At 57.2% G+C, this 26313-nt stretch overlaps 1 protein-coding gene and 1 long non-coding RNA gene across 2 annotated transcripts, besides 13 other annotated features; one reads left to right on the forward strand and one right to left on the reverse strand.

Moving 5' to 3' along the window:
• Positions 1813–11261, reverse strand: FGF3 (fibroblast growth factor 3). The gene is made up of 3 exons (NM_005247.4): positions 10559–11261; positions 8165–8268; positions 1813–2545 (listed from the first exon to the last, which is right to left on the reverse strand). The coding sequence occupies exons 1-3, from the start codon at positions 10776–10778 to the stop codon at positions 2150–2152; spliced, it is 720 nt and encodes a 239-aa protein (NP_005238.1). The 5' UTR covers positions 10779–11261; the 3' UTR covers positions 1813–2149.
• Positions 8801–9321: an enhancer, noted in NCBI's record as "H3K27ac-H3K4me1 hESC enhancer chr11:69631724-69632244 (GRCh37/hg19 assembly coordinates)". NCBI's record gives its function as "activates a minimal SCP1, AML or CMV promoter by ChIP-STARR-seq in primed H9 embryonic stem cells {active_cell/tissue: H9 hESC(primed)}" and the evidence as "EXISTENCE:reporter gene assay evidence [ECO:0000049][PMID:30033119]".
• Positions 9385–10885: a DNaseI hypersensitive site, noted in NCBI's record as "HS6; the nucleotide coordinates are approximate for this feature". NCBI's record gives the evidence for it as "EXISTENCE:in vivo cleavage assay evidence [ECO:0001075][PMID:10749884]".
• Positions 9385–17479: a biological region, named in NCBI's record as "FGF3 5' regulatory region". NCBI's record gives its function as "regulatory_interactions: FGF3".
• Positions 10553–19952, forward strand: LOC107984368 (uncharacterized). Its single transcript, XR_001748071.2, has 3 exons — positions 10553–10918; positions 18568–18757; positions 19439–19952. It is a non-coding gene; the product is annotated as an uncharacterized LOC107984368 (long non-coding RNA).
• Positions 10876–11713: a promoter, noted in NCBI's record as "BamHI fragment; BB". NCBI's record gives the evidence for it as "EXISTENCE:reporter gene assay evidence [ECO:0000049][PMID:10749884]".
• Positions 11043–12043: a DNaseI hypersensitive site, noted in NCBI's record as "HS4-HS5; the nucleotide coordinates are approximate for this feature". NCBI's record gives the evidence for it as "EXISTENCE:in vivo cleavage assay evidence [ECO:0001075][PMID:10749884]".
• Positions 11124–11270: a promoter, noted in NCBI's record as "AvaII/NaeI fragment; E0". NCBI's record gives the evidence for it as "EXISTENCE:reporter gene assay evidence [ECO:0000049][PMID:10749884]".
• Positions 12977–13777: a DNaseI hypersensitive site, noted in NCBI's record as "HS3; the nucleotide coordinates are approximate for this feature". NCBI's record gives the evidence for it as "EXISTENCE:in vivo cleavage assay evidence [ECO:0001075][PMID:10749884]".
• Positions 14371–15371: a DNaseI hypersensitive site, noted in NCBI's record as "HS2; the nucleotide coordinates are approximate for this feature". NCBI's record gives the evidence for it as "EXISTENCE:in vivo cleavage assay evidence [ECO:0001075][PMID:10749884]".
• Positions 16749–17349: a DNaseI hypersensitive site, noted in NCBI's record as "HS1; the nucleotide coordinates are approximate for this feature". NCBI's record gives the evidence for it as "EXISTENCE:in vivo cleavage assay evidence [ECO:0001075][PMID:10749884]".
• Positions 16799–17479: an enhancer, noted in NCBI's record as "H3K4me1 hESC enhancer chr11:69639722-69640402 (GRCh37/hg19 assembly coordinates)". NCBI's record gives its function as "activates a minimal SCP1, AML or CMV promoter by ChIP-STARR-seq in naive H9 embryonic stem cells {active_cell/tissue: H9 hESC(naive)}" and the evidence as "EXISTENCE:reporter gene assay evidence [ECO:0000049][PMID:30033119]".
• Positions 16983–17424: a promoter, noted in NCBI's record as "NcoI/XhoI fragment; NcX". NCBI's record gives its function as "drives expression of reporter gene; orientation dependent activity" and the evidence as "EXISTENCE:reporter gene assay evidence [ECO:0000049][PMID:10749884]".
• Positions 17480–18160: an enhancer, noted in NCBI's record as "H3K4me1 hESC enhancer chr11:69640403-69641083 (GRCh37/hg19 assembly coordinates)". NCBI's record gives its function as "activates a minimal SCP1, AML or CMV promoter by ChIP-STARR-seq in naive H9 embryonic stem cells {active_cell/tissue: H9 hESC(naive)}" and the evidence as "EXISTENCE:reporter gene assay evidence [ECO:0000049][PMID:30033119]".
• Positions 24168–24759: an enhancer, noted in NCBI's record as "NANOG-H3K27ac-H3K4me1 hESC enhancer chr11:69647091-69647682 (GRCh37/hg19 assembly coordinates)". NCBI's record gives its function as "activates a minimal SCP1, AML or CMV promoter by ChIP-STARR-seq in naive H9 embryonic stem cells {active_cell/tissue: H9 hESC(naive)}" and the evidence as "EXISTENCE:reporter gene assay evidence [ECO:0000049][PMID:30033119]".

Below are 26313 nucleotides of genomic sequence, written 5' to 3' on the forward strand. Positions count from 1 at the left end.
CTGCTGGTGTTTGCTGGCAAACTTTGGCACTCCTTGGCTTGTAGCAGCATCACCCTTGTCCCCACCTTTACGCTCTCATGGCGTCCTCCTGTGTGCACGGCTGTGCCCATGTGTCTCTTAAGGAGGATCCTGGTCACAATGGATTCAGGGGTCATTCTACTCCTATGTTACCTCATCTTCACCAGTTGCATCTGTAATGACCCTATTCCAAATAAGGTCACATGCTGAGTTACTAGGGGTTAGGACTTCAACAGATGAACTCTGGGGAGGAGACATAATTCAGCCCATGACCCCCCAAACACACACACAAAATGAAGTCCCTTGGACTCTGGTGTGGGGAAGAAGGTGACCATGGCACAGCCATCAGCTGCGAAAAATCCACATTCTCTTGTCAAAGCTGTTTTACATGTTAAACAAGAGCCCCCAGTGTCTCCTACGCCTTCATCAGGGACCATCTGTTGATCCTGCAGCACTGAGTACTGCTGCTTCCCCTGTGTTGACACAGCCCCGGGCAAGTTCCCCTTGCCAGGACTCAGGGTCATCATCTGCAAGGAGGGAGTGATGGCAGCCCCTGCCCCATCTCACTCTAGAGAAACAACAAAACCCACAGCAGAGCTCAGCTGCGTGCTGCTCCTGTTGACTGCCAGGAATGTTCGCAGCTGCAGGGGAGCCATTCCGGGAAATCTGACATGCGCTGGGGGCTGAAGGAGGCACCGAGATTTTCACTTGTGTTGCACACGTGCCAGGGAGGAGCCCAGCCTCCCTGTGGGTTTGGCGAGTCTGCACTAACCAATCAGGTGGCTCTGAGTCTGGGCTCTCTGAGTCTGGGCTCTGTGACCACAAGCTCTCTGGCCCTGGACACTCTGACCCTGGGCTCTCTGAGTCTCAGCTCTCTGACTCTGGCCTCTCTGACCCTAAGTTCTCTGACCCTGGGCTCTCTGAGTCTGGGCTCTCTGACCCCTGGGAGGGCATGGGAACAGAGAGCGATGGTCCTCACAGTCCCAGGCTCAGGAGAGCCTCCTCACCTGGACCCTGCCCATCCTGCCAAGTGCCAGGAGAGGTTAGTACACTGCCCATGCTGGCTCTCACCTGGGCCGGCCCAGGTGATTCCACCCATGCCATTGTTGGGGAACAGGTGTGAGGAGGCACCTAGTCCAAGGCAGGGCCCGGCCACTGAGTAATTGCTTCTCTGAGCCTCACCTTCTTAGGTAAAGACAGGGTGCACGGGCCCCAAGAGCAGGTTGTAAGGATAAAGGAAGTTTCTGTGCTGCCTGACCTGACACAGTTGCTCTAAAGGGTCCCTGGAGAAGCACACAGCTTCCAGAGGGAGAGGCTTTTTAGAGTTTTCAAAGAAAGTAAACTCTCTCTCTCTCTCTCCACACACACACACACACACACACACACACACACACACACAGACACACACACATCACACATTCAGACACACCCAGAAACACACACACACATACATGTCCTCACACAGGTACCACTAACACAAGATCACACATACCCACATGCACACTCACGCTTTCAGAAATACACGATCCTTCTCTCCACGCACACACACACGATGCACACACATGCACAAACATGCCTTTGCTTGTTTCCAACCATCCAAAAAAACGTAACTTTCTAAAACCAGGGAACTGAAATGCACCTTTAGCCCGATTTCTGGGAATGCCGTCTTCCTCTTAAAGCAGCAGCTGACGCAGGCTGATGCCAGCGCGGATTCTGCTGTGCTGGAAGCAAGCACGTTCCAGTAAAGGCGGCAAGCGCTCCTCAGCCTGCATCACGGTCTACCAAACGACAGAGTAGAATAAAATACTTTAATGTTGTGATGACACAAAGCCCCACACTGCCCCGCTGCTCCTGGGAGGCTCCTCAGTCTGCCAGGGCTGGCACTCAGGCCCTTCCCTGCCGGCTTCCTGCCACACAGACCCACAAATGCCCTGCATTGCAGGCAGCCCCCTCCGAGCTCCGACTTGGGCCCTCTTCAGTTCCCACTGGACCCTGATTTGAGCTGGCTCTGGAAATAGCTGAGAACCCAGACGCGGGACGCAGGGGCAAGGGCTCAAGGAGGAGAGTCAGAGTCAAGAGGCTGCCACGCCAAGATGTCGCCAGGAGCTCTGGCGGTGGCCACCAGGCCCAGCTAGTGCGCACTGGCCTCCAGCTGGGAGCCCAGTCTCGAAGCCTGAACGTGAGAGGGCTCCAGGTTATCCGGGCTCTGCTTCTGCCGCCGCCGTCGGGGCTGGACCCCCTTACCAGGGGGTCTGGGCAGCCCACTCTGTAGCTGCCGCACCATCTCGTGGTCCCTGTGGTCCAGCACGCGGGGCAGGAACAGGGAGGACTTCTGTGTGCGGCGGGTCTTGAAGCCCCTGCGGGGCCGGCCCTTGCCGTTCACAGACACGTACCACAGTCTCTCGGCGCTGGGCTGCCGGCGGGCCCCAGGCGTACTAGACACCGTCCGGTACAGCCGGGAGGCATACGTATTATAGCCCAGCTCGTGGATCCGCTCCACAAACTCGCACTCGGCGCTGTAGTGCTCCTGCGGGGATGAGATATCATGGTCAGTGCCCCGGGGAGACTGTGGCAGCGTCAGGGCCCAGGGTTGCCTGATGCCTCCCTCCCCTCCTGTGAGGCTGTTCGGTCCAGTGCCAAACCCCAGCGCACTCTCAGCCAGTCACACCTTTGCCTAGGCCCTGCCCTCTGCCCAGCATGTCCTTCCTCCCCTGTGTGCCTGGTGAACTTGGCCTTCTGCCTAAAGGTCACCTTCACTCAAAGCTGTGCCAGACAACTCCCAGCTCCTGCTCTCTGGGTTCCACCAGCCTCTGTCCCCCATCTGAGGGCGCTGACACAGCAAAGGGATGTGTAGGGTTGTCTGTGGAGCAGAGACCAGGCCGGCCAACCCAGGTGCCCTGGCAGTCTGCTGGCAGTGTGGAGGTCAGCAAGGACTGGGCATTTGGACAAAGGAAGATGACAACACCCAGATCTCTTTTAAAGAAATTGCAGAGGCTGGGCACGGTGGCTCATGCCTGTAATCCCAGCAGTTTGGGAGGCCGAGGCAGGTGAATCACCTGAGGTCAGGAGTTCGAGACCAGCCTGGGCAACATGGCAAAACCCCGTCTCTACTAAAAATACAAAAAAATTAGCCGGGTGTGGTGGCGTGCGCCCACAATCCCAGCTACTTGGGAGGCTTAGGCAGGAGAATCACTTGAACCCGGGAGGCAGAGGTTGCAGTGAGCAGAGATTGTGCCACTGCACTCCAGTCTGGGCGACAAGAGCAAAACTCTGACTCAAAAAAAAAAAAAAAAAGAAAAGAAAAAAAAAGAAATTGCAGAAAAGAAAAAAGAAGAAAGAACACAAAAAGCAGGAAGGGAAGGGGACACAGCCAGGTTTGATGAGCCCAGACTCTCCATTAAACGCTGCGCTCAGGGGCCCCAGCTGGGGTCATTGACCCCTGAGCAACACTCTCTTAAGCTGGAGGATCTCGCCTTGCAGGTTGAAGAGGTTACAACACAGAGCAGGGGCTGGGGCCTGGCATGAGGCACATGATCAATCAGTGCCACAGATACTGCTGTTCTTAGGATGAGAGCAGAAGCTGGGGTGTCCCACCACAAGCAGGACAGAGAGGACACCTCTTTGTCATCAGAGATTAATGGGACCCTTGTCAGGCCCAGGGTGCAGTGGGGGAAGGGCAGAAGGGACCCTGCCCTCTCAAAGGCACAGTGAAGCTCTGAACTGAAGGAGCTTACACCAACATCCCCAAGACTTGGCCGTGGGAGTTTCCCTCAAGGGCTGCCTCATGGGGTCTTCTTAGTCTGTGGCGTAGGGAAGAGGTGGGTATGCCTTATGCAGACCCACTAGGCTTCAGTCCCAGCTACAGGCAAGTGGTAATGCCTAGGGCCACCTCCCTCAGGGGATGACTGACAGGAGCTGCTCCCTCCAAACCAGAAAGGGTGGTGGGAGGTGGAAGCAGCAGGTGCAAGGCAGACAGCAGGATCTCTCTTTCCTCCTGGGGACTGGCCGCAGGGAGGAGTCGGAGGCCCTCATGGTCTGTCCCCATCTGGGGTGTGGTGTCCCGTGGCAGAGAGAGAGAGTGGAAATGGCCTCCAGAGGCTCCCAGACTGGACCGAGCAGCATCTGACCTCGCAGGACCTCAGGGAACAAGATGCTTCAAGCACCCCATCCTGTTTTTCAGCGACATGAAAGCCCAGAGCAGGGAAGGGTGGAAGGCTTGACCTGGTGGTAGGGGCTGCCTCTCCCCATAACCCCAAGCCCCCCTGCTCTCCAGCCCTCTTGGAGGCCCAGTGCCCCCTGGGCCACAGTCTGGATGTTACTATCCAAGACCGGTCTCCATGTTTATAGATGGGGAAACTGAGGCCCAGGGGTGGTGCCAGGCCCTACATTACAGGGGATAGAACAGTGTCTGATCTGTGCCTGACCCCCACATAGCCTGGGGCTCAGCGACTATCTGGGAATGAGCGGGTGGGCTCAGGGCCGACTTCCCCACCCCACACACTGGGTACACCATGTTAGTGTCTGGCTCCCATGGCAGACTGTGAGAAGCTCAGGGCAGGACCCAAGCTTCTCCCAGGTCCCTCGATCCTGCAGCAGGTGAGTCCTCTCAGGGCCAGAGAGGCCAGGAAATAGGCTTTCTCTTTGGGGGGCCACTTGAGGGGTGGGTCACTGAAGGACAGGTGCCTGTGAGCCTCAGGTGGCAGGGGGCTCAGGCTCTCCCAAGGTGGGAGATTGGGGGCAGTGTAGATCAATTGCTGACACGTGGTAGGGCACCTGGGGTGGCCAAGATGACCAGGGCAGAAGGTGTTGGCTCAGGGGCCAGGGCCATAGACTCCAGAGCTACTGCAGTTGGGACTCGCTGTGACAACACTTTCCAATGTGTGTCCTGACACTGCCGCCCCACCAGACCTGGTTCCACAGGCCCCTCCCCCAGGGCCGCTTCCACCCCATGAAGGGTGGGGAGGAAGCCGACTCCGAAGCTGCTTTGTTGAGGAGGTGACTTCTAAAGGGAGCTGTAAGGGCGGGGCGGGCACTTTCTCATGGGCATTTTCTGGAGGAGGGCGTTCCAGGCAGTGAAGGTGTGGCCTGAGCAGTACAGATGGCTTGGAGAGTTGAGGGGGCTTCCGGAAGCCGGAGGAGGCTCAACCTCTGGATGACAGCCCCCCTGGGAGCAGATGGCACCTGGGCTGCTGCTCTGTGGGTGGAGCTAAGGTGCCTGGGGGATGCCTGCGCATCATGGGAGTCCTCAGAAGCCATGAACTGGGCTGATTTGCTTTTTTAGGAAGCCCCTTTAACATGCACTAGCAGAGTGCAACACATGGTAAGTGCCCAGGACACTGACTGGTGAACGAAGGACTGAATGTCAGATGGGTGGGTGGATGGATGGATGGATGGGTGGATGGATGGATGGATAGATGGGTGGGTGGATGGATGGATGGATGGGTGGATGGATGGATGGATGGATGGGTGGATGGGTGGATGGATGGATGGGTGGATGGCTGGATGGATGGATGGGTGGATGGATGGATAGGTGGATGGATGGATAGGTGGATGGATGGATGGGTGGATGGCTGGATGGATGGATGGGTGGATGGGTGGATGGATGGATGGATGGATGGATGGATGGATGGATGGGTGGATGGGTGGATGGGTGGATGGGTGGATGGCTGGTTGGATGGATGGGTGGATGGATGGATAGGTGGATGGATGGATGGGTGGATGGCTGGATGGATGGGTGGATTGCTGGATGGATTGGTGGATGGGTTGATGGGTGGATGGGTGGATGGGTGGATGGGTGAAAGGATGGAAGGAAGGAGGGAGCATGGACGGATGGACATGTGAATGGGCAGATGGACAGATGAACGGTTGGAAGGATGGATGGAAAGAAGGATGAGAGAAAGGAAAGAAGGAAGGAAGGAGAGGTGTATGGACAGATGGGTGAAGAGAATAAAGGAAGGGGAAAGAAGGAAGGAAGATGGATGGATGGCTTGACAAACAGATGGACTGGAGGTAGGAGAGGCTGGAGCAGTGATCCAGGTGGGAAGTGATGAGCCTGCCTTTTAAGGCGTGCTCTCAGGGATGAGGCAGAGGGAGGTGAGGTGTGTGGGCTGAAGAGATGCAGGGGCGTGGTCTGAGGACTAGGGATGGACTGAATAGCAGGAGGGGTCTACCATGACTCCCAGCCCACTCTGGGTGAGAGTGAGTGGCTGGTGGGGCGATGATTAAGATGGGGAGTCGGGGAGCTGCTGAGTTCGGTTCGAGTGTCTGAGTCAGCAGGATGTTGGGGGAGGGTGGTCTATACCTCAGAAGGGAGGTCAGGGCCAGACCAGGAGTGTCAGGGTGCAGTGCTCACTGGCCCACAGTGAGATGAGCTGGCCTGAGGGCAAGCATGCTGCCGGCAAAGTCCAGGGAGCCCCGTGGTGGGACAGCACTCCTAGGCAAGCTGGCCGCACGCAGGACTGTGGTATCAGGTGGCAGGTGGCAGGTGACGGAGTTGGCATCCAGGCTACTATGCCTCCCAGGTTGTCTGCAGGGCAATGGGAACTTCTCCACTGGGCACTCTGGAAAGTTCCACACCCTCCAGCCAGACTGCTTGGCTAAGCATCCCTGGTGGGGCTAGGAGCCTCTGTCCACCCTTCTCAAAGCCAGGCTGTGAGTTCTCAGGCACGGAAGCCCCAGGTGGGCTCTGAACCACTGGGACCCCCTCATGTCATGCTTTATTCTGTCTCTCCAAATCCTGGCTCCCCTATGGCAGAAGCTGGCACCATGAGGGCCCCTGCTCCCAGACACAGCTTCCAGGACACTGACTGATGAATGGACTGAATGTCAGATGGATAGGTGTATGGATGGATGGGTGAGTGGGTGGGTGGATGGATGGGTGAGTGGGTGGGTGGATAGGTGGATGGGTGAGTGGATGAGTGGATGGGTGGATAGGTGGATGGATGGATGGATGGATGGATGGATAGGTGGATGGGTGGATGGGTGGATGGGTAAATGGGTGGATGGGTGGATGGGTGGATGGATGGATGGATAGGTGGATGGTGGATGGGTAAATGGAAGGATGGGTGGATGGGTGGATGGATGGATGGATAGGTGGATGGATGGATGGGTGGATGGGTGGATGAGTGGATGGATGGATGGGTGGATGGGTGGATGAGTGGATGGGTGAATGGGTGGATGGGTGGATGGGTGAGTGGATGGGAGGAAGGAGGGAGTAGCCTCTGGACCAGAGAAAATGAAGGGGCGCATCCCGGCTTTCTGGACCTTCCTTTAGCAAAACGGCTAAAAATCTGTGATGAAATCATCAGCTTCTGCGAGAGGGAGCTGCGGGATGTGTCCTCTGTGAGCAGGACTGAGCAGAGAGCTCACTGCAGGGAGATTGTCCTTGGGCCGCGTCAGCCAGGCTACTCATGGATGGAAAACCTCTCATTGCCCAAGGAAGTATCAGCCAAATTGCATGTAATGACTAGTTGGAGGTAGCAAATTTCCCTGTGACATGTATTTTACTCTGTGTATTCCCCACCCCTACCCCTTATGAAGAGGGGCGCTGCCATACCCACAGAGTAAGGAGACCCTTTTTGGTTACACGGAGGCCCAGGCAGTAGATAGACTGGGTCCCAAGCCAGGGCTCCAAGGCTCCTGTGTGCCCGGGACATGGGCGCCATCCCCCTTCCCCTCCTAGGCTTCAGCTCTCGCCTTTCCACCCTTGGAGAGAGCCGGTGGAGCTGGGCCAGCGTCCTCCTCTCCATGCTCCCAGGAGAGCTCTGGCTGCCCCAAGGAACACTCCCAGGTTGTCTTGGGTCCATTTATTTTGGTGGAAATTTGGAGAACAATCACTTCCCTGCTCTCAGCTACTCTCAAGGGAGGGTGGTAGTGATGACAAGGATGGGGGAAACCTTTGCTAACCTGGCATTCTCCAGATCCCAGGTCCCCCAGGGCCAGGCTCCAGGTCACTCGCGGAGCAGCCTCTAACAGACACAGCCAAAGATCACTGGGCGTGGAGCCCTGGGCCAGGGTCTGGTCCTAGCTTGGGTCCCGTGTACCCTTGGCAAAGCATTCTACTGCCCACATCCCCCGTCCCCTGGCTTGATGTGCAGGCCAGACCGCTACTCCGTCAGCGCCCACCCACGTGACAGCCTGGACTCACCGAAGCATAGAGTCGTCCCCTCTTGTTCATGGCCAGGTACCGCCCGGAGAAGAGACCCCTGATGGCCACAATGCCCACCTCCACTGCCGTTATCTCCAAAATACCTAGAAGAAATGAGAGGTGCCTCACTCCCGCCGCCCCCACGGAGGGGGCGGCTGAGGCCCAGCTGGCCCTGCCCAAAGCCACACCCCGGGCTCAGGGCTGGGGAGGGTAGCACACACCCCACAGGTCGGGGAGTGAGTGGAAGTTCAGGAAGGGAGAAGTCACCGGACAGGAGGTAGAGAAGGGAACATCAGGGAAGGCTTCTCTTCATTCAAACTTGGGAGGGTAACAATGAAATTAACATTCCCACCTGCTGACGCTGCCTGCACCCTGGCTTTCATTCGAGCCTCACAACACCTTGCCAGCTGCCATCATCATCCGACAGACAAGCAAGTGGGGACCACTATGGCTGGGTGACTGTCAGGCCCCTGCACATGTGCTTGAGCGGGAAATCAAGCCCTGGCGGCAGCCATGGGAGTCTGAGCTCTGGGACTGCACGGTCCCCAATGCCTGTGCCTGCCAGCGGGAAAGCTGGGCCCTGATGAGCCAGGCTGATAATATAAACCACTGGCAATAACACAGCCAGGGTGCCTGCCACCCAGATCATGCTGGCAATAGACCTGGCGGGAGATCATTGTACTCGCCGGGGGACCTGGAAGGGCAGGAAGCCAGTTTAGACCCTGGAGCCCGCAGAGGGAAGCTGGACGGGTCTCACCCACTCCCCAGGGATAAGAAAGTTTAAATCTCCCCTCCCGCCTTTCCTTCTGGATACACGAGTGCTGTGGTGGGGGCTGGGGGCGGGGGACTACATCAAAGGACGGGTTGGGGTCATTGTCTCCCAATAGAGGCTGCGAGGGGATTGGGGCGACTGCCTGCACCCTCTCCAAGGCATGCCTCTCAGGAGCGCCCTCCTGGCACGCGGTCCGAGCACAGACGCGGTCACCACCGGGCTTTTGCTCCAGCCCAGGGGTGCTGTGGTGCAGGCTGCGAGCCTCCCGCCTTCCCAGTGCGCAGGCTGGGCGGCATCGGCGGTGCCTGACCGGGGACCAGCGAAGCACGAGTCTCGACGCAGGACAGGGGCGGCTGCGGGCGCGCGCCCTCCCCTCCCCGTGAGCAGCCTACACCAAGAAGTTTGGATGCTGTGCGACTCCGAGGGGGAGCCTGGCTTTGGAGAGAACCGGAGTGTCTTAGTGAGACGAATTCCGCGCACTCGGACCCCCTGGTGACAGCTGGTGCCCACCGTGCGGCTCCGGAGGCGCATGTCCCCAGGACGCCCTCTCAGGGCTGCGGCTTTCCTGGAGGAAGCCGCGGTTTGCTGAGGCCGCCGCCGCCACCTTCAAGCGGCGGAACCGCTTCCTGCGCCCGGGGCCGGAGCCGAGCGCCGCGCGGAGCACCCGAGGACAGCTGTGGTCTTGACTGCCCTCCCACGCTCCCCACGCGGTCCTCCCGGGCCCTGAGCTCCGCTATCCTGCTCCTCAAAGGGCTCGGCGCGGGCCTCAGGTCCCTGTGACCAGAGGAGCCCAACCGTGTAGTCCGGCAGACTCCCGCGGTGAGCGCAGCCCGGGCCGCGGGTCCTGCGTGCGGGGGCCGGAGTGTGTGTGTCTGCACCCCCAGGCCCGGGCGGACACCGTTCCGCGCTCGTGATCCGCACGTCCCGACGGCGAGGGCCTCCACCCTCCTGTCGCTGTGCGGCCAGGGCGGAGGCGGGGGAGGTGCAGATTCCAGCGCGGGGAATAACTGTCGGTGGCGGCCGCGGCCAGGGAACCGAGCTCCGCAGGGCAAGAGTCCTCCGCGCAGAGGCAGCAGCGGGGGCGGCCACCTGGGCAGCCGCGAGCGGGGAGGGCGGAGGGGACGGCGGGGCGTCCAGGGGTCGGCAGGAGGAGGAGAAGTCGTCAAAATAATAAAGAGGATGATAAATGCCTTGTCCGGCTCCTTTTCTCCGACACATTCAAAGGGCTTAAACTTGTCAGAGCTGCCCAAAGCAGCAGAGCCTGGAGCCCCGGGGTCGCCTAGCTCGCGTCCCCTCAGACCAGCGGGCCGGACCGGGGACGGACTCTGACAGCCGCCGGCGCCCTCTTCGGACGTGAACGCCCATGCCCCCGAGTTCTGCTCGAACCCCAGCGCGCGCTCTTCTCCCGGACGTGTAGGTTGAGGAGGGCACCCTGGCATTCCCCTTCTGGCAGCGGGAGGCAGACGGTCTTTTCCCGGACACCCCGGGCGCACCATGCCTTCTCCCGGGCCAGACCCCTCCCCGGCGCCGCCTCCCCCGCGGGGCCCCGCAGCGCGCCTTCTCCCGGGCCCGACCCCTCCCGGCGCCGCTTCCCCCGGGGCCCCGCAGCGTCCGGCACTCACTGTAGGCGCTGTTCTCCAGGCTGCCGTTGACGCGGCCGCTCGGGTGCAGCTGGAGGTGGTACTTCGTGGCGCAGTAGAGCTTGCGGCGCCGGGGCGCCCCGCCAAGGTGCTCGTAGACGCCGCCACGGCCGCCCGCATCGCGCCGCAACCGCGCCCCAGGGCCCGCTGCGGGCCAGCCGGGCTCCAGCAGGCTGAGCAGTAGCAGCCAGATTAGGCCCATCGTGGCATCGCGCCCGCCCCGCGGCGGCGGCGGCTGCAGGCGAGCGCGGCGCCCATGGAAGGGGCGGCAGCCGGACAGCTGCGAGGTGCTCGGAGCGGGATCCCGCGCCTGGAGATGCTGACTCCGGCTTCGCGGGAAAGGTGGGGGAAGAAGGGGGAAGGGTGGGCGAGAGAGAGAAAGAGAGGGAGAGTGGGAGAGGGAGAGGGAGAGAGGGAACGCGAGTCCCTTTAATTTCCACCCAGGAGCAATGAAATTTCCGTTGCTGCGCAAAGCGCTGAAAGAAAGGACGGTTCGCCAACAAAAGGCCGACGTGGTCCCCAGGCGGAGGCGCGGGAGGGGCGGGAGGCCGGCGGGTGGGGAGCCCCGCGGGGCTCGGGGTTCGGGCCGGGCGCCGTCTGCATACACTCGCCGCCAGCGCACCGCCGTCGAGCCGCGGCTCCGCTCCGCAGCGCGCCCCACGCCCCCGAAAGCCCTCCTGGCTCTGAAAGGTCCCCTACCCGCCCCTCCCCCGCCCCCTCCCCCAGACCAATTATGCCTCCGAAAATTATAGACCGAGGCCTTGAGGAGGCCGCCCCAGGCCCTGTCACCCCCTCCCGCTCCCCATCAATCCCCCTGCACAATGGGGCCGCCGCCGATGACTGATGTCCGTGAAAACAACTTGCGGGGAAGTCGAGCTGACAAACGCCCATTAAAGGCGGCGCATAATGAAGGGGACCGCGGAGGGCGGCGGCAGGGAGGCTCCGGGGCGCGGGCACGCGTGGGGAGCTCCGGGTTTGTGTCTGCGCCCGGCGCTTCCTGCAGGAGCAGTGGCGCTGTCCTCAGCCTTGCAAGGCGCGGGGCAGGCCGGGTCTGGAGATGCTATCTCCTTTTGCGCACACCAACTGGGCACCCGGAGTGGTGGGGTTAGCTCTCGTCTGGCAGGCCTCGGAGGATCCCGTCCCAGTGACGGTCCAGAGAGGGGCCTGGGGAGGCGGGAGGAGGGACGCGAGAGCCAGAGAAGTGGGCGCCGACAGAGAGCCCTAGAGAGAAAGAGATGCAGATAGAGACAGACAGAAACGGAGGAGGAAAGGACGGGAAAGACATGGAAAATGTGAATGACAGAGATCGCCAAAAAGAGGAGGCAGGGGAGATGGAAAGAAGACAGAGCCGCGGAGAACACCCAGAGAAAAGCACAGGGAGTCTGGTAGCCACAGCGGGTGGGTGATGACAAGAGGAACCCGGTAGAAGCTGGGAATGGGTGTGGGGGAGTCCTGGCCTGGAGGATCTGAATCAGTGCAGATGCCCAGGTGGTCCCCTGGACTGTGTGGGGGTCAAGGTGTATCTCAGGGGGCCCAGTGAAGAGGGGCTTCAAAAAGTATCGGGAAAAGCCATGTCCCCACCCATTTCTCTTGCTTCCTGGTCCTCTGTCCCCCAGGGTCCTGGGGCCAGCAGGAAGCAGGGGCCAGCACAGGGGATTTGCTTCTCTCAACCCTGCCCCAGAGGAGGGCACGCTGTGGAGTCCAGGGGTCTAGGCCACAGCTTTGGCTCCAAGTTGACCAGGGGCTCTGGGGTGAGTTGGGTGGGCTGACATTCCCCAGCCTGCCATCTGCATCAGGGTTTGGGGTCAGGCAAGTGTGCAGGGCACCATGAGCTGTGGCAGTGAGCACACACCCCTGGGACGTGTCCAGCTCCCATGGCCCAATACACACAGGGCAGTGTGTCCTCTGTGAGCCCACTCCAGCGTGCACAGGGTCCAGGTGGCCATCCTGAAGGAGGGCGCCCCCAAGCCATCCCCGAGCACCTCAGTCTTAGTCAGGGTCTCCTAGCCGCTGCCCCAGGGCCAGCTTGTGAGAGTCCTTGAACAGGCCAGAGGCCAGCCACTGAACTACTGGAGCCTCAGACTCTTGATGGAGACTGTGTTACAGGGGTCAGAGGCTGGTGACAGGAAAGCCCCAAAGGACAGCAGCAAGAGGAGAGCTTGTCCAGTGCAGCCCTGTGCAGGCCTGGGCTGGGATGTGTGGTCACCTGGGCTCCCTAAGAGGCATGGAAGAGGCACAGGAAGGAGGTCGCTGCTCTAAATGCCTTAGCTCTGCTACCTCCTGACACCTGGCCAAGAAGAGAGGAGATGTAGTGGCGGGGGTGGGGGGTGCACAAGAAATTCAGAGAGGGGTGCAGTCAGGGGGCACAGTCTGACAGAGAGAGGAGAGAGGACACAATAATGTTTTAAGAGAGAGAGAGCAAGAGCAGCCTGCTGGGGCCAGGGGACTTCCGATGCCCTTTCCTGTCAAGGCTCCGGCTGCCTCCTTGGCAGGACCCCCTCTGGAGGACTGGGAGGAGCCAGAAAAATCTGACCAAGGCAATCTGGGTGTCCATGCCCCTCCTGCTCTACACCTGGGGCCCCCAGCAGTTCCCAGGGAAACTCCCGGGCTCTGGTCTCCAGCCCTGCCCACTGCCAGGTTGCCGTGTGCCCGAGAACCCAAGATGAGGGCAGGGGCTGCTGCCCTGAAGCAGGAGTCCAAAGGTGACCCCTCTATAGGAGGGAAGCTCAGGGGATGGGCAAGAGGTTTCCAGCTCCTAGGGAGAACCTGACACACCAGCCACTCAGTGCATACTCCTAAAATGAATGAATGGTTCGGCCACTTCCTGCCACGAGGCCTTGGCTGTGTAGTGTCGCTCCTGAGATACTGGTTTCTCATGTGTGTGATGCCCCAAAGGTAGGGCCGGAAACTGAGTGGCATTACCTCTGCAAAGCCTCTGGCCTCCCATCAGCGCAGGGCATGCTCCAGCCGCAGGGGACCACAGTTTATGACGCAAACCCTGCTGCCTTTGAGAGTGAAAGAGGGCGCAATTTGCAGTTATACCAGGACAGCCGGTGCCCTGCCTGAGGTCCCTCCTGGTGGCCCTGGCTCACTGTCTGCTGTTCTGGTAAGCATGACTTTTCCGAGGCAGCCAAGCTCTCTGGGCCAAGTTTTCCTCTCTCCTCCGGTCGCTGGCGACAGCCTTCAGCCCGGTCCTTCCATCTGCGGTCCACCCTGCAGTCACGGGAAGTGGTCTGGAGCCCAAAGCTGCCTTCTCCAGCTGCCCCAGCCCCTCTGACAAATGCCGTAGTGTTGGGGGAACCCTGGGGATGCTCACCCACCCGCGTGGACCTCTAGTTCACTTCCCACATCTTCTGGGCTGCGCCTCCAGGCCCTTGCTCACCCACCTATTGAGTTCTTCCTCCTCATCTAAACCTGTTGATCTTTCCAGCCCAGGAAGCCCCCCAGACCCCCACCCTGGGACTCTGGGACCCTCAGGCCCAGCCAAGGGAGGGGAACCTGATTCCTCCACATCTGCCCGGCAGGGGCAGGGGGCTGGGCCACAAAGTCTTGTGTGTGGGGTGGGGCAGAGGCACCCACATAATGGCAACCTCGCCCCTCTCCCTCCCATTCGGAGCCAGGCGGGGGGTGCACCATGCGCTAATAGCGACCCTGTTAATTGCTTCCAAATGGTCAACTGTAGTCATTTGACTAATTGGTCTCTTCCAGAGCCCAGGCTGGACACCCCAGGCCCAGCAGAAGTGCTCCTACCAGCATCCCCCGAACCTCTGCACTGGGACCCTGTCCCCCAGAGCACCCCCAGCCCTATCTGGTACCTGAGTCTGCCCCTAGCCTCTTCCCCTGGAGAGAGAGCTGGGGTGGAGAGAGGGCAGAGAACAGGGTCCTATGGTGTGGCCGCAGGTGGCTGGCCAGGGACTGTCAGATGTGATGCTGACTCCCAGCCCCAAACTCACTCTAATTATGTTGCCTGCCCCCCCATCCTCTTACCCCATCCTTGTCCCCAAGAGCAGTGGGAGAGAGACCCAGCCTGCCTGTGTCACTGGGAGACCATGGGTCCCTGAAATTCTGGGAGCAGCCCTGATCAGCCCCACATTACAGATGAGAAAGGGAGGCTCAGAGAGGTGAAGTGACTTGCCCGGGGTCACACAGCCAGGAGATGAGGCGAGAAGACTGGAATGCCCCTTCTGGCTACGGGACCCAGGACCCGAGCAGTGGGGAGAGGGAAACCATTGCCCCTCTAAGTCCCTCTGGGGCAAAGCTGGCACTTTGCTTCTGGCAAAGTTAGGAGCCCCCGCAGGCAGGGGTGGGATGGAAGGCACATCTCCCCGCAGTGGGGCCTGCGCAGCACTTTGAGGCTCATCCACGGTGTGGCGTGTGCCAGTGTGTCCTCCCCTTTTCTGCCCTAGTGGCATTCCGTCGTGTGCACAGACCACATGCTGTTTATTTTTCATCCATGGATGGATGTTCGCCTTATTTCCTGGCTACTTGGCTATTTTGGAGCCCCAAGCTGAGACATAAAGGAGGATTCTCTCTGGGTAGAGGAGAGGAGGGAGCAGAGGGCCCCCTGGCCCAGGGACAGACACCTCCAGCTGCTCTTTTTCTTCCCCACAACACCGAGGGCAGCCTGTGCCTGTCAGTGCCTGGCATCGGGCTCCAGGCAGAGCAGCCAACAGGGCTTGTAGATGCCATCTTCTCCCTGTGTCCTCACAGGTTCGTCCCTCTGTGTGTGCCTGTGTCCTCATTACCTCTTCTTATAAGGACCCCAGTCAGATTGGACTGGGGCCATTCCACAGACCTCGCTTTACTTTAATCGCCTTTGAAAGACCCTAGCTCCAATTGCAGCCACATTCTGAGGTCCTAGTGAGTAGGGTTCCAACATACAAATCTTGGGGGACACAGTTCCGCCCAAAACAAGTGCAAATGATGAGGTACACCCCCAGTCCTGTGGATGAGGTGGGGTGGAGGGAAGGGAAGAAATTCACATCCCCACCTCCTCCCACCATGAAGTCAACTGCAGCTGGGCGAGGCCAGGCTTGATGGGGAGCTGTGGCAGCTTTGATGGGGAGCTGTGGTGGCAAACCCACACTCAAGCAATCACCCTGTGTCCCTGCCTTGCACCCCCCTACCCCTCTCCACCCTTTGCCCAGGCCAGTCCCTCCACCTGGGGGCCCTTTCACCCTTTCCATCTAGAAGCTCCTGCCATTCCTGCAGACCTGGCCCCGGCCCCTGGAGGGGCCCACACCCCAGGCAGAGCGAGTCTCTTCCTCTGGCCTCCCTGGCCTTTGCTCCTTCCATGCTGCCCTGATACCTAGGCCTGTTTCTCGTCAGCAGCAGCTCAGGCAGGGCAGCTTGCTCTAGAGGGCAGGCAGGCTTTGTTTACCTCTCCCCTGTGCTGACCTGTGCGAGATGTGGCCAGGACACTTGGACAGTGGGCAGGAGGCAGGGATGGTGAGGTGGGGATAGAGGGAGGAGTGCCGGGCTACCCACTCCCAGTCTAGGATGTTCCTCCTCCACACCTGCATGTTCTGTGTTCTCCTTAAACCATCACGGTGCTGCTTTGAGGCTCCTGTGTCTGCTAGGAAAAAGGGGCTGCGCTGCTGGGGCCTTCATTCAGCCGCCTACAACTGGGGGAGGCTGAGGAGTGCTACAAATACAATCACAGGAGCCAGCATCGATGGACTGATGGGCCCTGGTATGCATGGTCTATCTTGGGGGTGGTGGCACATGGGTCCAGGACCACCCAGATTCCATTTTCTGCTCTATTCCTTACCCTGCATAAGCGCTCCTACAGCTGTCAGCCTCTGATATCAATTCCAAGTTACTGGATTTTTTTTGAGGCCGGGTCTCACTCTGTCATCCAGGGTGGAGTGCAGTGGCTAGAGTTTGGCTCACTACAACCTCCACCTCCCAGGCTCAAGTGATCCTCCTGCCTCAGCCTCCCAAGTAGCTGAGACTACAGGCATGTGCCACCATATCCAGCTGATTTTTGTATTTTTTGTAGAGATGGGGTCTCACTATGTTTCCCAGACTGGTCTCAAACTCCTGAGCTCAAGCGATCCTCCCATCTCAGCCTCCCAAAGCACTAGGACAACCAGCATGAGCCACTGTGCCCAACCCCTATTCTAAGTTTAAAGGACAAGCAGGACTTTTTCTCAAGTCCCAGAGTAGCGCACCCCAGTCCCAACACCAGGACTGAGCGTGCACCCCACTTCTAGCATCAGGACTGAGCGTGCTCTGACCTGTTTCCCTGAGCTGAGGAAGGGGCCGAAGAGCTGAGATAACTCCCAAGAAATTTCCAGGGAGGGATTTTCTGGGGCCAAGTCCTGGCCTGGCCCGGCCGGGCCTGTGTGAGCTCAGGGTCCTGCAGCCCCGGTGACTGGCCATCAATGCCCAAGCTGCAGGGACTCTCGAGGAAGTCCGAAAGACGCCACTGCCTCTCTACAGGCTGTTCTCAGGTGGCCAGGAGGACTGCATCGCAGAGGCGGCGGGCAGTGCCTGGGGACCAGCTTCCTGCCTCTGGCTCTGACTCAGACCTGGTGGCCTTGCCCAGCCCAGCCCCACCCTCTCACTAAATCAAAGCCATGCCCTTCAGATGTGGTTTCCCAAGCCTCCCTTGGTTTCATGACTGCGAGGGACCTTCTGCAGCCACCTGGGCTGGTACGTGGATGGGACCCTGTGACTGGAAGCCCCAACCCTGCAAAGGCAGTGAGTGTGCAACGTTGGGGGGCATGGCCGGCCACACACTTTCCTTAATGGGAAACATTGCTCACTTCCAGACTTCCAGAGGCTGGCACCAGGGACTCGATTGTCACTGAGTAAGCTGTATGCAGCCCCTGTGCCCACCATGGCAAGACCCCTGCCGTCACCCACCTGACGGCTGCCCTGGCCCTGCCTCAGGAGGCTCCCTCGCCTCCAGCCACATGGGGGTGAGTCACCGTGAGTGTGCTGCGTCCTTCTGTTTTCTGAGGCAGGGCTGCAGCCCCTCATCTCTGGGGTGAAGCCCATGCTCTTTGCTTGGATTTGGGCATGGTCTGGGCCCTGTCCATCTCTTCAGCTCCTCCTGGCCCACCCTTGGCCTTGAGCAGCTGCTGTGACCCGGACATTCCCAGTGAGCACCGGCTCCTCCCCACTCTGGGGTCTCTGCACGGACTGTTACCACTGCCTGCAGCTACTGCTCCCTCTCCTCCTCCAAACCTTTGGCTTGTTTAGATTCCTCCTGTCCTTCCAGATGCAGCTAAGAGAGTCTCTCCTCGGGGTTGGAGGGGTCCTTAAACCCCCTTGCCCTGGCTGGGCCAGGGTCCTCCTCCCGGCTCCCTCAGCCTCCTGCACTGCACAGTCACCTTCCTCATCAAGAGGCGTCTGTGAGGCCACCCCCAGCCCTCGGCTGTGAGCTCTGGAGCAGGTGGACGGAGTCTGCTTTCCTCCTGGCCCCTCCCCAGGGCTTGGCCCAGAGTCCCTGAGATGCTTCAGGAACAATTGCATGAAACCTCTGTGGCATCCCTGACCTGAAAATGTCCGTCATTTGAGTGAAAACATGGAGAGAGAAAGGTCCTTACATAGATCCCGACAAAGAGGGAGAGGGTGGCCGGGGACAAGCAGCCTCATCCCCTCTCACCCCCTGGCAGGGTGGCATGACCCACTTGGAGACCTTTCAGTAGGGATGCCGGAGGCTTTCTGCAAAATTTGATTTGGTGAACTCCAGAAAAATGATAGACTAGAAAATCGCCCATGAAAGAACTCCTCGGAAGCACAGAGCTAATTCCAGGCACTTCTCAAACTTGAACGAGTTCAACCAATAGATAAAACCATCAGGGCAACTAAAAAGACCGAGAATGGGCCTTGAGCCTGTCTCTGCAGAGATGGGGGTGAGGGGACGTGCAAACCAGGGCCATCATCACAGGGGGCACTGGGCCGTGACTATGACAGTGTCCATCACAATGCCTTTTGCTTGAGGAATGCCACACCTGACACTCTGACACTTTATCTTACAGAGTCTATAAAGAAATATGCACAAGCAGCATCATTCAGCAGGATTTCAGACCAGAAAGAACCCTCCCGTCAGAGACTGGTGGCCATACAAGGGTGCGCTGTGAAGCTTTCGAGACAGCAGACAGCCGGAGTCGTGATCAGGGTGGCCAGGAAGGGAAACAACACGGTAGCAACCAGAGTGCCCTCCCATGTGTGAGTTGCTGGGTTAGAATCCAGATTCTGCCATGTATGACCTGTGAGGACTTGGGCATAGTAACCTCTCTGGGCCTCGATGTCCTCATCTGTAAAATGGGAACGTGCCACAGTGCTCTCAGAAGGCCAACATGAATCCATATGGGTGAAGAGCTGGGACAGTGTCCGGCGAGCAGGACACACCAGATCAGTGCTTGCTGCTGTTGTTGGTATTCACACATGTGATTTTTTTTTTTTTAGACAGAGTATAGCTCTGTTGCCCAGGCTGGAGTGCAGTGGCATGATCTCTGCTCACTGCAACCTCCGCCTCCCAGATTAGAGCAGTTCTTCTGCCTCAGTCTCCCGAGTAGCTGGGATTACAGGCATGCACCACCACGCCTAGATAATTTTTGTATTTTTAGTAGAGGATGGGTTTCTCCATGTTGGTCAGGCTGGTCTCGAACTCCTTACCCCAGGTGATCCACCCGCCTCAGCCTCCCAAAGTTCTGGGATTACAGGTGTAAGCCACTGTGCCCAGCCCACACATGTGATTTATACACAGGGCCCTTCTGCAAGATAGGCAAGCAGTGGTAGGAATGACCACCTCTGGGAAGTAAGGATACAAAGAGGTGAGAGGGAGAACTTTTCTCTTTGAGCCTTTGGTACTAATTTTGCTATTGACTTGATTTTTACTGCAAATAGGGATTCCTTTGGTGACGAATAAGCCAGTTGGTGTGCAGGGTGTTCACTGCAAGGCCCAGACAGGACTACAAGAGACCAGGACTGTCCTCAGTATGTGATCTCTCTCTCCTCTGGCGTCAGCTCTACCCAGGAACGGATGTGAAGGCTGAAGCCCAGGCAAGGGCTCATAGTGTGGGGACCGTGCAGCTGGATTCATGTCCAGTGGAATTTGACACCATGGCCGTCATCATCATGTTTTGCCGTCATCAGCACAGACCTCTGAGCAGAAATGCCAGAACAATGTGGGGCCACCCTGGAGATTTATTTTATTTATTTTTTAAATTAAATTAAAATTGTTTTTAAGAGACGGGGTCTTGCTATGTTGCACAGGTTGATCTTGAACTTCTGGGCTCAAGCAATCCTCCTGTCTTGGCCTCAGAGTGTTGGGATTACAGACCTAAGCCACCGCGCCCGGCCTGGAGATGTATTTTAAACTGACATCTTGGGAGAAATAAAAGCCTTCCTTTTCCCTGTGTGTCGGTAGCGTAAGTAGTGAACTGGGAAGGATTTCTCGGGGCCCCTGCCCTGAGCTCCTAGACCTTCTCTCCCACGCCATGTTACACAACAAAATCTGACTCTGAAAGATCAATTGGGTCCAGCTTGGGGTCTGATGGGCAGACGGGCTTAAGCAAAGCCCCCACTTGACTTCAAGAGAGGAGCTTGGGGCCCACATAGACATCGAGGCCTGCACAACGTAGCTAATTGGCCCTAACATTTTTCTTTCTTGAATTTTAAATCCTTTTAGCAACAGATTATACAACAAAGGCTGAACTCATTGGGGCCGTCATTAGGCTGGCGGAAAACGCTGGCTTGGCTGTTCCTTGGCGAATCTCCTTACCGGGTTATTTAGAGGTGCCGTGTGTCTCTCTTGGGGACATGCACACAAATGTAAAGAATGTCTCTGAGCCACAATGACATTTTCATTAGCCGTGGCTCACAGAGGAGCCTTTCCTGGCAGTTCCAATCCGGAAGGTTCTTATCCTGCTCTCTGGCTTTCTTGCTCTGGGTGAAAGGCAGGCACCGTAATCCAAGCCAAACACCCCGACCTTTGACCCCCACATGGTGCTTGCTGTCAGGGTGGGGGTTCTTCTGGGGTGCATGTCTGAGGCCTGACTGGGCTGCACACTGTCCCAGAGTGCCCTGCCTTTGGCCAGGACAATTCACCTCAGCCCCTTTTGTCCCAACAGCTTTTGATCTTGCCTGCCTGTCACCCAGGGAAAGAGCCTGCCTAGGCCCTGTCCCACACCTGCCTGCAAACTGACAGCCATGGCTCCCCCAGCCCCACTGCAGCAGCCTTAACCCTTTCTCTGCCTGACCTGCAGGGCCTGCACCTACCTGTCTCCAGGGTGCTGGGGCCTCAGGCTTTGGCCAAACCAGAACAGGACTAGAAAAGAATTCTTCTGAGGGTCCAAGGCCTCGTCCTACCGCCCCTACTGTGAGTGTGGGACTGACAAAGGAGTTTGGAGAGCATGAGTCCCCTAGAATGGAGCTCCCAGGAAAAGCCAAAGAGAAAGCCCCAGGCCACTGGGCCTGGACTTCGCCCCACGGCAAGGTCCCCGCCCACTGGCTAGGCAGGTGCTTTTGTGAAACTGACATTTTCTCAGCTGCACCTCTACCGCTGCTGATGAGCTTTTCAATACACTCTTTCTTGTATTGAGACAGAGCCATGTTTTCATAACTTGGCACTACAGCAAAGAAAGACATGGGGTCCTTGCTGCTCAGTCCTGGTGCCCGGCCCAGTGTCTGGGGTGCCCACCTTGCCCAGCGTGTGCTGGGCATGCAGGGGCACTTCCCTAGGGCCAAAACCTGGGAGCTTTCCTCCAGGCCAAGACGCAAGTCTCTTTGTTTTTACGGTAGCTTTGTTGAAATGTAATTTACATACCATGAAATTCACCCGTTGAAGGCATGCAATTTAGAAGGTTTTATTCATAGAGTTGTATGAATTCTCTATTTCCCAAGGCCATTTTTTTAAATATAAGGGTAATCTATGTTCACTGTGGAAAATACAAACAATTCAGAAAATATACCATGAAAAGTGCACATCCTGTTAATCCATTTATTCAGAAACTGTTTCTTTTTTTCTTCTTTCTTTCTTTTTTTTTTTTTTTTTTGAGACAGAGTCTCAATCTTGTCGCCCAGGCTAAAGTGCAATGGTGTGATCTCACTGCAGCCTCCACCTCCTGGGTTCAAGCAATTCTCCTGCCTCAGCCTCCTGAGTAGCGGGATTACAGGCGCCCGCCACCACATCCAGCTAACTTTTGTATTTTTAGTAGAGACAGGGTTTTACCATGTTGGCCAGGGTGGTCTCAAACTCCTGATCTCAGGTGATCCACCCACCTCGGCCTCCCAAAGTGCTGGGATTACAGGCATGAGTCACTGCGCCCAGCCTCATTATCTGTTTCTTAAGCACCTACTATATGCCAGGGTCTGCCCTAGGCGCTTTGGAAACATCAACAACAACAACAAAAAACAGACAAAAGTCCCTGCCTCGTGGGGCTTCAGTTCCAGCGTGGGGAGGTGGACAATAAATATTATACATTAGGCCATTATGTAGCAGGCTAGCAGGGCCTAACAATTTCCAGTGTGGATTCCTTCAGCCCATTCCCCGACGCGTTGCAAGCACACACCTGCATCTAACACACAGGCTGCTCCGCCATTTGCTCTGTCGGGAGCAGAACGTCGTGGACACTTTGTGCGACAGTGCCCAGGCCACTGCTCCATCCCTTTCACAGCTAAAGTGGGACTCCACTGTCCTCCAGTTAATTCAGTGACTCCTGTGGGGGTTGCCGCATGGATTCTATTTAATATCAGTGCAAACTAGGGTGGCACTGAATATTCTTGTTCTCTTATGTGTGTGCACTTGGAAAGTGCCAGAGAGGGCAGGAGGCAGATCCCATATACACTCCAACATATTATCTTCCCCCCCTTTCCTTTCCCTCTCCCTGCCTTCTGTCTCCCCCTTTCCCTCTCTTCCTTTCCCCCAGCCCCCCATGTACAGCAGCTGCAGCTTCCCAGGATCCTTTTCTGCCTGGGACCACGAGCTGGGGGCTGCACGAGCCCTGCGTCATTTTCCGGCCCTCCTAGATGAGCAGTGGGCTCTGAAGGAGCTGAGCAGCCTGAGAGAGGACATCTAGTGCTCAGGAGGAGGAGGAGGAGGATGCCACCTCAAAACGCCCTCAAAAGGGCCAGAACCCCAGACTTGGAACTGGAACTGTCCATCTTTGTCCCGGGATGTAACCCCATCTTTGGCCCCTGGAATGGGGAAAGAACAGGAAAGCCACAGAAGCCAGAGCCCCAGGGACCCACCCTGGAGTCCCATGTACCCAGAGGTGCCAGTCCATCTGGGAAGATGCCCCAGGAGGGGAGTTTCCTCACCACAAACCTCTTGCAAAAATGCCCTAAAAATGTCAGAACCTACTTTCCTTCCCAAAAGAGAGTTCGTTGAGAGCCGTTGAGCATCTGTGTCTATAAATCTTCCACTGGGATGGCTGTGCAGGGTGCCACCCTCTCAAGGTGGCCTCAGGAGAATGTGTTCAAGCCCCTGGAGGTCCACTGTATGACCGAAGTCTGACAGATAGCCCCGCGGCTCTTACACACACCCAGGGCCACTGACGCCCACCTAGGGCCACCGATACCTACATAGAGGCCACTGACACCCACCTGGAGGCCACTGATGCCCACTTGGGGACCACTGATGTTCACATGGAGCCACTGACACCTACCTGGAGGCCACTTAGACCCACCTGGGGCCACTGATGCCCACCTGGAGACCCCACTTGCAGTAGGGCTCCCCCAGGCTGCCGCCTGGCCACCTCCTCAGAAGGTGCATGGTGTGAGCACCAAGGGACCCTGCCTTCTTCATGATGAGCACCCCAGGCTCCAGTGGCATCCAAATGTCTGTCAAGATTCTCCAGGCAAGCCCGTGGTCTGCCAACTATGGAAATTACTGCCTTAGGCCATCTGTGAGACGAAAGTACAGTCTCATAACTCCTCCACTAACTTTTTTTTTGAGATGGAGCTTCGGTCTTGTTGCCCGGGCTGGAGTGCAGTGGCATGACCTCAGCTCACTGTAACCTCTACCTCCCAGGTTCAGGCGATTCTCCTGCCTCAGCCTCCCGAGTAGCTGAGATTACAGGCATGCACCATCACACCTGGCTAATTTTTGTATTTTTAGTAGAGAATAGGTTGCACCATCTTGGCCAAGCTGGTCTCGAACTCCTAACCTCAGCCTCCCAAAGTGCAGCCTCTCAAAGAACGCCTGCCTCAGCCTCCCAAAGTACTGGGATTACAGGCGTGAGCCGCCGCGTCCCGTCTCCTCCACTAACATGTGTCGTCCATTCATTCATTCACTCATTCATTCATTCAGCAATATTTTGTGTTCCCATTTCACACCCAGCCATGAACTGAGGTCACGAGGATGCAATGCACAGCACATCCTTCTAGGCATTTTATAAATATTGACTCATTTAATCCTTATAACCCAGGGGTAAGGACTTTTAATAGCCCCATTTCAGAGATGAGAAAACAAAGGCACAGAGAGGCAGAGCAACTTGCCTGCAATTCTCAGCAGCTGAGGGGCAGAGCCAGGATTGACAGCAGGGAGCTGAGTTCCTGACCACCAGGCTCTGCCACCTCTCTCTGAACTACTTATCACCCAGCTTTAAGGACAATTACGAAGACTGTGTGTTGGATGGGGAAGAGGTCATGATAAGATAAGGGAAAAAAGTAGCAGTGGACATTGTATATATAAACAGGAGACAAAGTATACACATATTTTTATATAAAAAAAGATGACATGCATATATCACCTGGGGCATGTCCTGGTGGGGAGCAGACACACAGCATAAGACACCAGAGTGATTAGCGTGGAGGAATGGGGCGGGCAGTGACTGACCCCATTGTCTGACAACAAAAATAACTCATTTCCCCATGAATGGGTTTCCTAAAAGTGTCACTTCACAATTCCTTTCGGATTCTCCAGGCTTACTCAGGTGCTTGCCATGGGAGTGAAGGCAGCCCATTATCCAGGGACAGAGGGACAGCATTCCCGCCTGTCCTGTGCTTTGATGCTCAGAATGCATCACCTGAAAGAAAAACGGCATTTCTCTGGGCAGGCTGGAACGTCCGGAGGGTAACCAGACCCGTGTAAAGAAATGCTGTGGCCTCCATGTGACAAGGCAGGCGGGAGCTCAGCGGCTCAGGCCAGCTCCTGGTCGGCCCTGGGTAATTCTGTCTAGGCATTTCCCGGAGCCTCAGAAACTCCTGAAGCACCAAGGCTCCTGGGACCCGGGCCATGGGGCAACTGACCTTGCACCAAGACAGGGATGACTCCACACCCTGCTAAGCGAATGCGTATGAAAATGCTTCCTGATGGGCTGGCAGCTTCAGGACGTGAAGGGGATTAAGGCAACGGTCCCTACAGATGGGAAATCAAACAGATATTCTAGCAGATCCAACCTACAAAGGATGCTGCAGCCACCAGCACTGTTTACAACGGGTTTGAAGAGTCTGGGGACACTTCTGTCCCAGCTGCTGGTGCACGGTGCAGAAAGGAAGATTTGAAGGCGGCCTTGCCCCCCTGAATGAGTACCCGCACAGTCCTTGACAAGGTGACCATGGCACAGAGCTTCAGAAGTCCCACCCCGGCCTCACCCTGACCTGTCCTGTGACCTCTCTGTGCCTCAGTTTCCCCACCACACTTACTTCATGGGTTTTTGTGATGATAAAATCTTTAGAACTGCTCAAGCATGTATTAAATATTCAAATAACTCAACGTAGACTGGAACTCAAAGGGCAGAGAGGCTGAGCCACCGGCCCAGGTTATCAGTTGTAGCTCTGTATCTGTGTGGGCCATTCATTGATTCGGTGTCCCAGCAAGAGTGAGCAACACTGGACCCCCAGTTACTGGGCTGCAGCAGGAGCTCCCCCAGAGAGCTCATGGCAGCTAAAAACGTCCCAGCACACATCTTGCCAGTAAGAAAATATCTGCGAAGAATACATGGATTCATTGCTATTTTTTACTCAAATTTATTTGAAAGCCAACTCTGAACCTTCATCGTCAGTAAAGACCAGCATTACTTACTCTAATTCAAATGTAACTGTAAAAATAAATTTGACCAAATAGTATTTTCAAATGCCAACTAAATGCCAGGCTGAGACACGGGCACCTGCTCTTGTTCGGGTAAGGGGCGAGCAGCAGGTGTTGGGGAGGGGTCACAGGTGGACCTTGGTTAGAAAACTTGAAAGAGGCCGGGTGCGGTGGCTCATACCTGCAATTCTAGCGCTTCGGGAGGATGAGGAGGGCGGATTACCTGAGGTCAGGAGTTCGAGACCAGCCTGGCCAACATGGTGAATCCCCGTCTCTACTAAAAATACAAAAATTAGCCGGGCATGGTGGTGTGCACCTGTAATCCCAGCTACTAGGGATGCTGAGGCAGGAGAATCGCTTGAACCCAGGAGGCTGAGGTTGCAGTGAGCTGAGATCATGCCACTGCACTCCAGCCTGGACGACAGAGCGAGACTCCATGTCAAAAAAAAAAAAAACTTGAAAAAGAAGAGACTGGGGTGCCCTGGCTGCACGATGCCTCACCCACACCCCTTGGCTCCCCTGCACGCAGATCAGTCTTTGGTCCCCGTGGGCCCGTGTGGCTGCAGGCTGGGCCTCTCATCCCATTTAGAGTAGTGGGAGAGGGCCTCATCGCACCAGCAGATGCCAGTTGGCTCAGGCCTCCGGTGCTGGGGACATCTGCTTCTCTTGGACTTTGGATCTTCTGGGGTGTGAGGGGACCCGGGCCACCCTTCCCTCTCTGACAGAGGATCTCTGCTCTCTCGGCCAA

The sequence above is a fragment of the Homo sapiens genome, chromosome 11 (assembly GCF_000001405.40).
Source record: "Homo sapiens chromosome 11, GRCh38.p14 Primary Assembly".
NCBI lineage: Eukaryota > Metazoa > Chordata > Mammalia > Primates > Hominidae > Homo > Homo sapiens.

Coding starts and splice junctions, on each gene's coding strand:
- FGF3 (NM_005247.4), bottom strand. CDS start 10,778: ATGGGCCTAATCTGGCTGCTACTGCTCAGCCTGCTGGAGCCCGGCTGG. Junction 8,269..10,558: donor CCTGGAGAACAGCGCCTACA/GTGAGTGCCGGA, acceptor CATTTCTTCTAG/GTATTTTGGAGATAACGGCA. Junction 2,546..8,164: donor GGGGACGACTCTATGCTTCG/GTGAGTCCAGGC, acceptor TCATCCCCGCAG/GAGCACTACAGCGCCGAGTG.